At 39.6% G+C, this 15,423-nt stretch overlaps 1 long non-coding RNA gene and 1 pseudogene across 1 annotated transcript, besides 1 other annotated feature; both read left to right on the top strand.

Annotated features, from left to right (window-relative positions):
- The first annotated feature begins 652 nt into the window (after positions 1 to 652).
- Positions 653 to 15,083, top strand: LOC124904387 (uncharacterized). The gene is made up of 2 exons (XR_007066500.1): positions 653 to 923; positions 11,697 to 15,083. It is a non-coding gene; the product is annotated as an uncharacterized LOC124904387 (long non-coding RNA).
- On the top strand, positions 10,047 to 10,530 carry RPS15AP9 (ribosomal protein S15a pseudogene 9; annotated as a pseudogene).
- Positions 11,655 to 11,855: a silencer, noted in NCBI's record as "peak386 fragment used in MPRA reporter construct". NCBI's record gives its function as "represses an SCP1 promoter by STARR-seq MPRAs in K562 erythroleukemia cells {active_cell/tissue: K562}" and the evidence as "EXISTENCE:reporter gene assay evidence [ECO:0000049][PMID:32103011]".
- Positions 15,084 to 15,423: the final 340 nt, after the last annotated feature.

Genomic DNA, 15,423 nt, shown 5'->3' on the forward strand with positions numbered 1-15,423 from the left:
TTAGAGTGATATATATAATCTCATATGTATATATGGTTTCCCATGACCCTGCCTCTGCCAGCCCAGTCAACCTCATTTCTTGCACTGCCCCATCCAAACCCAAGCATGCACACTGGGCTTCAGCCTTCTTTTATGATTATACAAGCTACTACTTATTCTGCTTCGGACACTCTGCCCACTCTTCTTTGCCTAATGAATTCCAACCCATTCTTCAAAGCTCAGTTTAGACATCAACTTCTTTAGGAATCCTCCATTCACCAAGTCTTCATTAGGCATCCCTCTGTGTGTTACCCGTGGTACTGTGATGATCTCTATCAAGTCTTTAACATTCTGCATTTCAATTTTCTACTCGCTTGTCTGATTCAGCCCTCTGTTCTCACTGTTCCCCTCCTCTTCCACACTGGGAACTCTTAAGCACAAGGGACCTTGTCCTGTTTCTGCATCCTTAATACTGGGCACAGTGTCTGAAACTTAATATGGTTTAATAAATGTTTGATAGTGAATAAATGGCCAAGATTCATGTTTCATTTCTAAGAAACTGATCATTAGGACAGATGACTGGAGAAATTTATTGTTTATTTCAGACAGATCATTTTTGTCTTCTGATTTTCTTTTTTAAAAGGGCCTGATTCCTGAAACACAGAATCTTTAGTGCCATCTAGTGGAAACAGCTCAATAAAAACGCTATACTATGAATAAAACTCAGCTTCCTTTGTTCTATTTTATTTATTTTGAACCAAGACGGACAGAGAAGAGAGGGCTAGGTTGCATAGACTCCAGGGCACACTGCATGCTGGGTGTTTTTATTTTTATCTAAAAGTTCACTCTACCCGAGAAGACTCTAGTTGTGAGATCTAACAAGTATAAATAGTCCCTTATCATTGACATTTTGTGAAAATGGGCAACTCTTCAACTTTGAGAAGGTAAGAAGGAAACAGCTAGAATAATGTGAGCTTTGGAACTCTCCTTGTGTAACTGCTTTTAGGTCAAACTAGAAGTACACAAGATATCAGTTCCATTATTAACAACTATCCTTTTAGAAAAAAATTCTGTACTGTTTTATCCAAGACAGACTCCTTAGCTCTTCTCAATTGACTCCTAGTTGTCTGATCGATTGTCTGTCATGACCCCAAACAATCTGTAGTTGATGTAGTAAGACAGGAAGCTGCACCCAATCTTAGTTGGTCTGATATAAATATAAGCGGTTCTTAGACATTTACACTTTATTCATCTGTTTCTCTGAACTCCCTTGTTTATGTTTATTACATAACAGAGCTCAATATTAATGTTGTTTGAAATACATGTTTTAAAAATTACCTGCTACATTCTGTTAATGTATTTTATTTTTAAAATGTGGATAAATGTGTTGTGATTATATTATTTTTACATAAATTTATCTTCCATATAAAATATTCATAAGTAAAATGAGTAACAGTAAGAAAATGGCACATTTTAGAGATTGAGTTTCGTGCTGCATTTGGCAATAATGCTTGTGATTAAAATTAGTACAGTGCTCATGCTGCTGTGTTAGAGAATTGATCATAAAAGGCTCTTGATAATATTGCATTATAATTTAACACTTTTTTCCTTTTAGGATTCTTTCATTACTAGTACTTATTAAACATGACAACTTTAAAGATTGATTTTGAATGGAAAGTTTTGGTTTAGAAGGGGCCCTTCGTTTGGAATATGTTTGCCCCAGTTATCTTGCTCTCTGTCAGAATGCTAAGTCAATGAGGGCAATCTGTTGAGTTTTCTGTATATCCTCAGTGTCTAGTTGGATGTCTCGCTCATAGTTGGAGCTCAATAAATATTTATTAAATGAATATATGAGAAAATTGAGGTGCAGCAAGGTAAAGACACTGATTTAAGGTCACGTATGACATTACTGGCAGAATTAGGGCAAGAATCCATGTCTTCTGACTCCCACTCCATTGAGTGGTTCAATATAATACTTTGTCTTGAATCAGTACTGCTTTTCGATTCAGATGCCTGTGGCACTTGCCTGGACCCTTTGCTTTGAAAGAACCCATCCTGGCCCTTCTCCAGCCACACCTCTTCCCATGGGCCAAGGAATTCCAAGAGTACATCTCTCCCCTCACCACCCCACCCTCACCTCCTTCAGACTAGGTTCCAGCCACCTACAAGCCCAAAATTCTTTGACAAATAGCCAGAAGCCCACTCCCAGGCCCATGCAGTTGTAGACTGCAGGGTAAGTGTGCACACACTTAGGCCTCAGGAGTGGTGAAAGGACAGCTTTTGGGGATGGTGGAACTTGATCAAGCCTGTTGGAGTGTCCACACACATATGCAAGGGCCTCTGGTAGGATGGAGAAAGATGAGAACAGGCCATGGGCTGGATGCCCCTGTTTGTCCTCTTGCTCATGGCCACTCAAATATTAGGGGTAGGCCTGCCTCCTATATTAAATCTAGTTTCTCCACATATTTAATATAATTTAAACCAGCACTAAGTGAACGCCAGTATTATGCCAGACACTGTGCTGGATATTTTCAAATGCATTACCTCATTTAAATGTTATTCTTCCATAAGAATGCTCAGAAGTAACTTACCCAACTTACCTAAGGGCAAGCAACTGAGAAGTTAAATGCATAACCCGTATCCTCAGGCAGTAAGTACAGTACCAAAATACTGGTGTGTGTGTGTGTGTGTGTGTGTGTATGGTATGTGTGTGTATACATACATATATACATATACTTTTTCTTGAGTAAATAATGTATCTGATAAAAACATGCAAACAATTTACAAGAATATAAGTAAATAGTAAATCTCCCGTGCCAGGCCTCGAGTCAGAGACAACCAGTTAATAATTTTTTTAATTAAAAATACCCACATATTTTAAAATTTATCATCAATAATTTTTAAACTTTTTTATTTGGGAAACTTCAGATATATGATATATACAAGCATAGGGAAAAGTATAAATAACCCCTAAGTACCCCTCACTCAACATCACCAGTTACAGCATTCTGTCACTCTTGTTTAATATACTTCCCCAACTTTTATGTTGTTTTCTCTGCTGGAGGTTTTCAAAGGAAATACCAGATATCATGTCATATTATTAAATTATATTAAAATATTAGATACTTAATTTATAAAGGTTTTGATGTAAAGATGGAAAATATTTTGAATTTTCCATGAAGACCTCTTAATTTAAAAAATGCCACATAAGATTATATATGCCATATAACATTTTACCAATGTTATTTAAATTTATTTATGTATTTATTTAGAGATGGAGTCTCGCACTGTTGCCCAGGCTGGAGTGCAGTGGCGCAATCTTGGCTCACTGCAACCTCTGCCGAGTTCAAGCAATTCTCTTGTCTCAGCCTCCCAAGTAGCTGGAACTACAGGCGCACACCACCACACCTGGCTAATTTTTGCGTTTTTAGTAGAGACAGGGTTTTGCCATGTTGGTCAGGCTGCTCTCGAATTCCTGACCTCAGGTGATCCACCTGCCTCAACCTCCCAAAGTGCTGGGATTACAGGCCTGAGCCACCATGCCCAGCCCTAATTTTTAAATATTTAATGTTTCCTCCTTTGTTCCAAAGGACTCACGGGGGAGTTAGGCAATAATAATTTTGTGACTATAAATTAAACTTAAACGTGCATTCCACCTCATGCCATGCAGTTTTCTCTGCAGAATTCTGTGAGACTGTGTCTGTTTTTATTTTATAGTCCGTCCACTTTTTATCTTTCTTTCCCTTCTTTTGGAAGAGCTGTTGAAAATGGTAAGCAAATAAATGCCATTTTTTCCTCACTTCTCTGAGTGATAAAACCTGAAAATGATGAATATATAAGGGCAGACTATGATTTAATGTAGTGCCTTTTCTAATTCAAATGACAACTAACTTTTCTGAGCTAAAGTGTGCCCATGTCGTGATAATAATATTTAGAGGATGAGTAGGTTATAATATATCATGGCATACAGAGAGGTCTATACATTAGTTCCAGGAATGTTGCTAGGAAATATTAAAAAAAAAAATGTTCCTAGATGCAAGGAAATATAAATAATCCCCACCAACTAGGGCAAAGCCTAGGTATTTATTTCTATATTGACAGCAACTATTTTTTTCTTAAGTACCTATTTTCTAGATGGCATTTAAATCTGCACTGCATTTTAGTAAATTTTTCACTTTTTTGCACAGTGTTCAGGACCTGAAAGCTCCTTCTCCTATTATTAATGAGGAGTATATGATGTCTTCAGGAAATTCTGAAGTAATAAAAGCCCTTCTATTCTTCAGTGTTCCGTGCCCCTCTTTTAGGCAGAATCCCGTCAAGAAAATCTTTGGAACAGTACTGTCTGGAGCACTGGACTGGGGAGGGCCGGGTGAATCTCTGTGTTTGAGGAGCTGAGAAGCAACACTCTGGGTGGAAAAAAGGCTCAGAGACTTGTTTGGAAGCTGCATTTGCAGAGTAAAGCACTTTTTGATATATGCATCTAGTGTGGCCTGGAGCAATGCTGATAGAGATTGTGAGGTAGGAAGAGTCTAGGTGGGTAAAGTCCCTCCAAGCCACCTTTGGTACTGCCATTGCTCTAGACCTGTGTTGTCCAATATGAGGACTTCAAATGTGTTTGGTCCAAATTAAGACAATGCTGTAAGTGGAAAATGCACACTGGTTTTGGAAGATTCATTATGGAAAAAAAGAATGTAAAATATCTCGTTAATAATGTTTTATATGAATTGCATGTTGAAATGATAATATATATGATATATTTTTATTTTTATAGCTTTTAAGGTATAGACTATTTTTAGAGCAGTTTTAGGTTCACAGCAAAATCAAGCAGTTTTCCATTAGAAAATTTACAACTTATCTTACGTGTATATGTTATTACTATATTAATATTCTTTCTAAAAACTAATTGTAATAGGAGTTCATTCTATTATATTCTGATTTATTCCTTCTTTATGTTAGATCTGTTTATCTCAGACATTCTAAGTGGGAGCAATATTGCCCCTAAATGGACAGAACTTGGTTCTTGGATTGTTAAAAAAAATCCTACTTTTAAAAAACATTTTTTATTTTAGATGGGAGGTTACTGTGTCACTCAGGCTGGAGTGCAGTGGCACAATTATAGCTCACTGCAGCCTTGAACTCCTGGGCTCAAGCAATTCTCCTGCCTCAGCCTCCCAAGTAGCTGGGACTACAGGTGCACACCACTATCCCCAGCTCTTTCTCTTTTAGTGTACAAAGCACAGATATATATGTAGTACAAAACCAGAGATAGATAGATAGATAGATAGATAGATAGGTAGATAGATAGACAGACAGACAGCTAGATAGATAGATGATAGATAGATAGATTAAAGTTTCCTGAGGGGTGATTAGGAAAAAAAAGAGTCTAAAATTGTTCCTTAGGGGGTTGGTCATGAAAGGCTGACTAACACTGGTTTATCTACACTAGATATTCTTAGAGTGTGTGCACATAACAATGGAACTTTTTAATGAACTATCAATCTCCAAAGTTTCCTAAGGAGGGAAAAATGTATAAAATAGATGAAAGTATAGAAAGATTTACATTTGCAGATTAGTGGGAAGGAAGTATCTGAGGAGTGTTAGAAATCTCTACCACTGGCCGGGTGCGGTGGCTCTTGCCTGTAATCCCACCATTTTGGGAGGCTGAGGTGGGTGGGTCACCTGAGGTCAGGAGTATGAGACCAGCCTGGACAACATGGTGAAACCCTGTCTCTACTGATAACACAAAAATCAGCCAGGTGTGGTGGCATGCACCTGTAATCCCAGCTACTCGGGTGACTGAGGCAAGAGAATCGCTTGAACCCAGGAGGTGGAGTTTGCAGTGAGCCAAGTTCGTGCCATTGCACTCCAGCCTGGGCAACAAGAGTGAAACTCCTTCTCAAAAAAAAAAAAAAAAGAAAGAAAGAAAGAAAAAAGAAAAAGAAAAAAGAAAAAAAGAAATCTCTACCACCAACTAATCACCAGATGTTAACCTTTTTGCCAATTCATTTCTCTCTGTGTGTGTGTGTGTGTGTGTGTGTGTGTGTGTACATATGTGTGTGTACGTGTGTGTATTATCTAGGTGAAGCAAACATAAATGTTCTTTGCATTTATTTTTTCAAATGTTTTCTAGGTGTGAAATTTTTCCAAATGATAGTTGGGGAAAGGCTGGGCACGGTGGCTCATGCCTGTAATCCCAGCACTTTGGGAGGCTGAGGCAGGTGGATCACAAGGTCAGGAGTTTGAGACCAGCCTGGCCAACATGGCGAAATTCCATCTCTACTAAAAATACAAAAATTAAGTGAGCGTGGTAGCTGGTGCCTGTAATCCCAGCTACTCAGGAGGCTGAGGTGAGAGAATCGCTTGAACCTGGGAGGTGGAGGTTGCAGTGAGCTGAGATCGCACCACTGCACTCCAGCCTGGGCGACAGAGCGAGACTCTGTCTCAAAAAAAAAAAAGGGGAAAATGCCATACTTCCCCACACCCTCTCTCTACCCATTCCTGTACTCCAGTTCTATACTGGGGTCCTATGGAACCACAGTTTCTTGGTAACATGTTTTCTTTCACTTCTAGATATTTGCATATATTTCTCCCTCTGCAGGGAACATATTGTCTGGCCTCCCACTTTGTCCTTCACACACAGCCTTTGCCTAGATAACTCCCAGGGGTCTTTTAAAGTTTCACTCCCTCCAGGAAGCCTTTCATGATCACCTAACCCCACTAAAGTCTGCGTTAAGACTCTCATATATATTTCCTTTATTGTAATTGTTCTTATTATTGTCCTTGTCATACAATATTATACGTGTACATTAAACTTGTCTGTTTTCACTGCACTATGAGTTCCTTAAAAGCAAGGATTATGATTTATCTTATTCATTCTTTGTCCTCTGAAACTATGACAGGGCATCTCACAATATTTATTAAAGTAATAATTGATTTTTCAATAAAATGCATAGTTGCTTTATATAACCCCATTCGAAAGGAAGGAAAAAACAAGAAAAAGGGGGGAAAAAGAAAACTTTGATGTTTTATTTGGTTTGTAAAGCTTTACTGATGACAACAGCATAATTTCAGGTTAGACTTTTATAAAATATTGAAAATAGCTCCTAGATCGCATTAGCCATGTAAAACTCTGGGTGAAATATCCCTGACAGTCCTAGAAAAAATTGGTTGGTTGTTTCTCTCAGCTCCAAAAGAGCTGTTTCTGCCTCTGTCTTACTCTGCAGGAGGTGCGGTAGGAGGTGGGAAGTCGGGGAGAGTGGGGATGGTACAAAGATGAAAAGTAAGGGAATGGTTTTTCAGGAATTTGGAGTTTAGCAAGAGAAACAGACTCATGAGTGATACTAACAGTTCTACCTTACATATGTATCATGTTTTTTGTTTGTTTTTGTTTTTTTTTTGTTTTTCTTGCAGTTTACAGTGCAATTTCCCATCATTTATTCCTCAAAAAGCCCTTTAAAGTAGGCATTATTAGCCCCATTTTAAGGGTGATTTTAATATAAGCCAGGATGTGCCATGAAAGTAAGATGTTCTTTTTTTTTTTGTTTTCTTGAGTCCAGGCATTTCTCCTGTATCTAGCGTCCATCATTTAAAATCTACCACTCCTTACCATATTCTACACCTTTCCTTTTGTATAAAAGTGTGAGGTATAACCCAGGCTGCAACTTCAGCCCTCAACAGCAGGAACTATTGTCTAATGAAAGATGTACTCCAGATGGAAAATTTCTCAAGTGAAATGGATGGAATTGGTAAATCCATTGTTTTCTAAATTAGCAAATATTTGGGTATGTAATAATATACATTTATTCAAGACAAAGGCTATGATCACAGCTTTTCAAAATATGTATGCAAACGGATGAGGACTAAAGCATACACATTTTGATCATTATTAGGGAGGTGGATTTAGGAGTAATTATTTTCTCCATAAATTAAAAATCGTCAATAATTTTTAGCTTATGTACATACCCAAGTTCTTTTGCACATTAATTAAAGAAAGCTGAGAATCACCTATTTTCAGTCCTAAAGGATTCTTGGCTTATTTAACCCACTAGGTGAGTGGCCATTTTCTCTCTGTCTTCCCAGCTCCAATCAAGACAATCTTCCCACCTTCTCTCAAGAACATGCATAGGACTTTGCCAGAATTATTGGATCAAACCACCGCACCATGACACATTGACCTGGGAAAGAATTGTTTATTTCTCAACTTGATCACTCTTCTGTTTTGAACCTGCAGGCGTAATGAATGCTTGCTCTCCTCTTCCTGAAGCAAATTACTTGTATTTTTGTATTATCCCTTAAAGGGGTGGTTCTCGGGCAGGGGTGGTGGCTCATGCCTGTAATCCCAGCACTTTGAGAGGCTGAAGCAGGCAGATCACCTGAGGTCAGGAGTTTGAGACCAGCCTGGCCAACATGGTGAAACCCCCGCCTCTACTAAATATACAAAAAATTAGCCAGGCATGGCAGTGGACACCTGTAATCCCAGCTACTTGGGAGGCTGAGGCAGGAGAATCGCTTGAACCTGGGAGGCGGAGGTTGCGGTGAGCCGAGATCGCGCCATTGCACTCCAGCCTGGGCAACAAGAGCAAAACTCCGTCTCAAAGAAAAAAAAAGGGTGGGGGGTGGGGTGGGGGGTAGGGGGTAGTTCTTGGATCACTAATTGGAAGTATGAAGGCAGGAAGACTAGTTGAGAGTCTGGGGCAATTGTTCACCTGAGCGATAATGCAAATCTGGGCAGAGTCCTGCAGGCCTCTTCTTCCCATACCTGGCAGGGAGCTGGCAACATGCACATGTGGCCACACCCATGTGGTCACCCTTTGTGTTGCAGTTTCAGCTGATCAATAGTTCAATGACATTTGTATGTAGGGAGGATTGCCTGACCCTCCTACAATGGCTGTTCGGGAGGTGGGATTATTCCTTTTCTTTATCTGAGCAGATATACATCTGAAAGGCCCTGGAAGTCCTTGGAAGAACAACCTAATAACAGCTCCTGAGCATTGGGGGTTCCAATTTCCAACAGGGCTATTTCTTCAACTGAGGGCTTGCATAGCATCATGGTTGCCTACTTTTCCTGCAAATATAATATAGACCATTACTGTGGGGAAGGGTCACTCTCTACTGGAACACTTGAACCTGATGAGTCCAGTACAGCTATACCCAGCCTAAGTGCTATAAGGGCCCAGAGATTACCCTGCTCCTTGAAATCTGATTGTGTTTCCCCAGAAAAGCCCTCTTTTATGTTTACACTACGTAGCTCTAGAAGTAAATGTGTCTGTATCCCTTTTGCCTGACTGGCCAGCACACAGGTGTTTTCAGTCTTCAAGGACTACAAAAAGTTAAGGGTGAAGGAAAGAAAACACACACACACACACACACACACACACACACACCGGTTTCTATCCTGAGAGCCCCAGGACAGAAAAGATTGTAATCTACCTCTAGCCTAAAAACATCCCTAGCACTCAGCAATTTAGTTTAGTCACATGGAGACAAACTGCCCCTTTATCACTCAATTCTCCTCCTTTGAAGATTGGACCCACACTGGTTTATTTTTTATCTTTTCATGATCTATGGTCTTTTGTAACATTTAAAATAGTAACCTGTGGTTTGGGGAGGCCATTAGCCAATTCTGTTCCCTTAACAGCATCTACCTGCTGAGCCATTGTGCTCTAGTTTTTAAGTGTCCTCTGGCCTGGTTTGCTATCAGTAGCTATTTGGACAAGACTTTCTGTTGTGCCGCAGCTGTTCAAGCATTAAACATCTATTCTTGGTCAAATGGAGGGAAAAAAGCAAAGTTCATGTTTTTTCTTTTGTGGTTCCTTGATGTTCATTCGCTCTGACCACCACACGTACTTAATAATAGCTAATTTTTATTAGTTCCTTCATATATGCCCATGTTATGGATGGAACTGTGCCCCCGCCCCACCCCAGATTTATATGTTAAATTCCTGACCTCCAGGATACCTCAGAACATGACTCTATTTGAAGATACAGCCTTTAAAAAGGCAATTAGGGTCAAATGAGGTCATTTGGGTGGGCCCAAATCCAGTATGGTGGGTGTCCTCAAAAGGGGAACTCCATGTGCCCTCCCTTCCCATCCTCCTTCCGCCATCTCTACATGCTGCCATAATGGAATGCATGAACGCCCTGGCTGATGCTCTCAAGAACATCAACACTGGAAAAGGAGGCAAATGCCAGGTTCTTATTAGGCTATGCTCCAAAGTCATCATCTGGTTTCTAACTGTGTTGATGAAGCATGGTTACATTGGCAAATTTGAAATCGCTGATGATCACAGAGCTGGGAAAACTGCTGTGAACCTCACAGGCAGGTTAAACAAGTATGGAGTGATCAGGCCCAGATTTGATGTGCAACTCAAAGATCTAGAAAAATGGCAGACAAATCTGCTCCCATCTCGCCAGTTTGGTGTCATTGTACTGACAATCTAAGCTGGCATCATGGACCACAAAGAAGTAAGACAAAAACATACAGGAGGGAAAATCCTGGGATTCTTTTTCTAAGGATGTGATACATACTTACAAATAAAATGCCTCAGTGGAAAAAAAGAAAAAGAAAAGGGAGCGACATCAGGAGTGCACACACACAGAGAAAATGCTGTGAGTACACAGCAAGAAGGCAGCTGTCTACAAGACAGAGAGGCCTCAGGAGAAGCCAAATCTGCTGACACTTGATCCTAGACTTCCAGGCTCCAGAACTGTGAGAAATAAATGTCTATTGTTTAAGCCACCCAATCTGTGATATTTTGTGATGGTAGCCCTAGCAGACTAATACAGGCAGGCAATGTAATAACTGCTTTTTATGAATTATCTCATTTAATTGTCACAGTTACTAGATGAAGTAGGTACTATTTAGACAGGCACTGCTAATATAAATTTTGCCCAAGCAGGAACTCTGTTCAGAGTATGCTCAGGCTTGACCCTGAAAGTAGGTAAGTAGAATACTCTGGCTCATAAATGGATGAGGTGGGGAGAGAAGTTTAATGGACACAAGAATTCCCTGACACTTGTGTATCTTTATCCAGATTGTATCTACCCGTTTGCTCCTTGTTCATTAAAGGAGAATGGTAATACCCTAATTTACACCAGGAAGACTTCTTACAAGTGTTTATTTATTAAACTGAGAAATCCTTTTTGATTATTCACTAATAATTTCTAATTTTTTCCTCTATTTTGTTCTTTCTTACCCATCTCCAGGGAATGGCTGGGTGAATGTATGTGCACATAGCATTTTCCTTTCTGTATATGCTGGCTAAAACTGTAGGTCTCAAAGGTTATCAAAAGTTCAGAAACAGATACAAGTATATGTAAGAAAAATACATATAATAAAATATTTTAAAAAGTCAGTGAGGGTAAGGATAAATTAACAAATGGTATTATAAAATCACTTGAAAAAATAATACTTAATTCTTCTCAGAATATACAAAAAATTAATTTCAGATTGGATTAAATATTTAAATGTTAAAAATAAAACATGGAAGCATTAAAATGTAAAGATTAATTTTTTGTATAATTGAGGGCTACAGAAGGCCTAAGTACTAAGGGAAGTACTTAAATATAAAGATAGAAACCAAAATAGAAATTATTGATAGATTTGACTATATAAAAGCAGTGTGGTGGGTCATGGCAAAGAGGCTAGAACCATATGTAATCTATTCTCAACATTAGTAGACTCAGGAGGATTTAATAATTAAATCTGTTCTTTCCAGGTATACTTGAGGCCAACAACAAGGAACACATAATCTGGTCTCAGGAAACATTTTGCATCATCTGGTAAAGGGATTTCTGCCTCATCAGATTACAGACTACATGTGAAGCCTTGAAGGATAGCTCCAAGGAGATGCGTGAGCACAAGGCAGTGTCCTCACAGTGAGCTAGGAAGAGGCTTGCACTGTCACTGCCAGTCCGTTTGTGCATCAGAGAAGGCCTAAGCGTAATTGAGCAGTCATTGCTGTCTCCTCCAGGGAGAGGAACCATCCTCCTCACAGATGGCTGAAGATCTTATGAAGCTGAACCTCCCAACAAATCCTCATATTTCGATACAAATAAGAATATGATTGTCAATATTCATACAATGTTTTAAACCTTATGTAGCAATTTTGCACATTCTTATACTCTTTCAGAAATAGTGTGGGTTGTGATGATAGATTTGGGTTTGAATTCTGGTTAACCTGTTGGCTATGTGATCCTGGGTGAGTTACGTAACCTCTCAGAACATATTTTCTCCTCTATAAAATGGTGATGGTGATGGTGCTAGGGTCAAAATGATACCACCTTATGGGATAAGGATTGGATGAGAGAAATACCTAGCTTGACCCATAAGAGGCACTCCATTTCCTTCCCTTTTATAAAGGTGGTTATTTGCATCAGTAGACCTCAGATTTCCACAATAGTTACATGTTTATATAGGTGATGTGTTCTCTTCAAACATGTCTCATGTTACATGGTGAATTTTTTTTTAAGAGATAGGGTCTCACCCTGTCACCTAGGCTGGAGTGCAGCAGCATGATCCTAGCTCACTGCAGCCTTGAACTCCTGGGTTTAAAATATCCTGCCGCCTTAGCCTCCTGAGTAGCTGGGACTACAGGTGCATGCCACCACACTTGGTTAATTAAAAAAAATTTTTTTTGTAAGGACAGGGTCTTGTTATGTTGCCCAGTCTGGTCTTGAACTCCTGGCCTCAAGTGATCCTCCTGGCTTGGCATCCCAAAGCACTGGGATTACAGGCATAAGCCACCACACCTGGCCTCCCAGTGATTCTTAACTCAGCAATGGGGCATGGAGGCGTTAATATCTGTATTGCTATAAAGCACCCCTGAGCCTCCAGACTGAGAATTGTCAGTCTACAGTATGATACCCCAAGTATCTCTCATGAGTTTGATATTTTTGTGATACCTTATTCTTCACTCTTAGTAGGTTTATTTCAATAAAGTAAGGCTTTGCTTATATGGGAGGGCAGTGCATTAAGCTAATGCAAATTATAGTTGATAAACTACCTTCTCATGTATCGCTGAATGCCAGGGAGCATTTTTGTTGGGGGCAGTGCTGGCGGGAGTTTTGATGGAAGTAATAGTAGAGAGATGGAGAGTACACAAGACCTAGAGGAGGGTTGATTGAACCATAAGGAAAAACAGATAAAAGGGAAGGTGAGAGGAATTGAAGACAATTATCATTTTTCTCATACAGCCTCATTTAGCAGGCTGAGACTTGGCTGTTTCGGGAGTACCTGCTGCCTCTCACTAGAAACTGCCATCTTTATGCTATCACCCTGTCTCTCATCCAGTCTTACCTACCTGAGGTATAAGACCTGGACTCACCACTTGAGTTATACATGGCTACCTGATCCATCTCTTCAAAGTCATATTAAATACTATAAGATTCTCAGATTTAATCTGTCAAAACCTAAATAGTTCTCCCTATAATGATACACGAATGGTTACAAATAAAGTTTGGAAACTGCAAATTAGAAAACTAGAGAGAAAGGAAGTGGTTCCAGTCTACCATGAGCAGCTCATAGGCTAGATGAACTGAACATAGCTTTTGGTTTGTTCTAAGGAAAGGATATAAGACCAAAGTGTCCATAAAGTTCTTATTTAAAGTAACTTTTAGAGTTTGGGGTAAGAGATCTTTCAATTGAAACTACTAAGAATACTTCTTAGGCCAGGCAATTTGAATTGATGAGATAAGATAAAGCTGAAGGTCAAAGTTATGACTTTGAGAAGAGTCAAGGCAATGCCATCATCAAGGGAGCCAATCTTCCAGTAGACAGGGGCTCCTGGAGTGAGAACTACAGACCTGCTGTTTCCAGGCTGCAAATTAATTGCATTGGCCCAGCAGACACCATCAGTAAACAAGCCTGCCAGGGAATATCTACTTGATCCTCTTTCACAGAGCAAACTTCCAAGGGCTGCCTGGGTCCCATCCTTATTTTGTTATCATCTTCAAGTGAGTCCAAGTGCACAGCAATGAAAAAAATGCATGTGTAGACTAAAGAAAAGAGTAACATAACGGTGCGTTGGACCATGAAGTGATAGATAGCTTCATGAGGAAAGAAGAATTTTGGAGGGACCTTGATTATGGGCAAAATTTAAAGAAAGATGGGAGACAGCAAATGTATCCATACTTCTGGAATGTTTTAGCTTTTGGCACTTAGGTTTGAGCATCCCCAGATGTCTGTGGTGTACCTCATAATCTGGTCCTTGCAGTTGGGCTGATGTGATAACATCTGTTATCTAAGGTATCTACTGTGTGCTCATGGACAAGGCATCTGTTTCTGTGACTCTGTTTATTTTCATTGATGACTCCCATATTGAAACTCCTGGGAATGATTCCATGAAAGATGAAATAAGCCAAGGTTCGAAGGAGCAAACAGTTCAAACACATAGTAATATAGTGGGAATTAGAGCAGCCTGATGGATGTGTGGAGACTTCACCAGCTGGAAGCAGACTGGGAATTACAAGTTTCATCAACAGAACCAAAGCACATGACATACGCCACAGGGCAGAATCCTTATTATGTAATAATAACCCCTGCACACTTCTCTCCCCCAGTTAACAATGCACAGATTGAGGTCATTGTGTATTTACAACCTGGAGATAGCTGACAGCCCATACTTCACCTTGAAGTTTGACTTGTCTGTTCCCTCAAATGTGTCGACACTTCTGAAATGTTTTCTCCTTTGGCACATCGGTTTGAACATCCCCAGATGTCTATGGTGTACCTCAAAATCTGGTCCTTGCAGTCGGGGTGATATGACACATCTGTTGTCTAATGTACCTACTGTGTGCTCACGGACAAAGCCAAATAATTAATCTGGGCCGGGATTGTTCATGCTTTCACAGTTCGGTTCGGCATTGATCTCTTCTTGCAGAAGGCCTATATTGGGACCAAACTGGGAATGCAACAGGGCAAAGTTGGTCTAAAAATCCTCTGGGAATTTTCCATTTGGCAATTAAATTTTCTGTAGATTACATCTCTCTATCAATTACCAGTGTGGCTTTTATAATGTTATAAAATCTGAGCATAGCCAGTTACATTTCTTTTACCCTGAGTCTCTGGGTCTTTATCTGAAAAATTAAAGGACTAGAAAAGATGACTTTGAGTTTTTTACAGCTCTAATGTTTGAGAATTTAATAATTTCTCAGTAGTGAAAGTCAGATTTCTTGACAATATAGCAATTAGTTTGTCCACCTGTATGTACTCTCCTACATGTATCTGCCTGAAGCCCATTGCTACTGGTATCTCCCAAGATGGAAATGTGCCAAGCTGGTATAAGCCCAGTGGAATTTCACTAAGAAACTAGACCCAGCCACTCAGCCCATACTCACAGTCTTATCTTTCCTCCCATTCATTTACCCATTCACTCAACAAACATTTATTGAAGGCCTGTTAAGTGTTAGGTACTAATCTTTAGAACCTGCTCTATGGCTTTTTAG

This window comes from Homo sapiens, chromosome 1 (assembly GCF_000001405.40).
Source record: "Homo sapiens chromosome 1, GRCh38.p14 Primary Assembly".
Taxonomy (NCBI): Eukaryota; Metazoa; Chordata; class Mammalia; order Primates; family Hominidae; genus Homo; species Homo sapiens.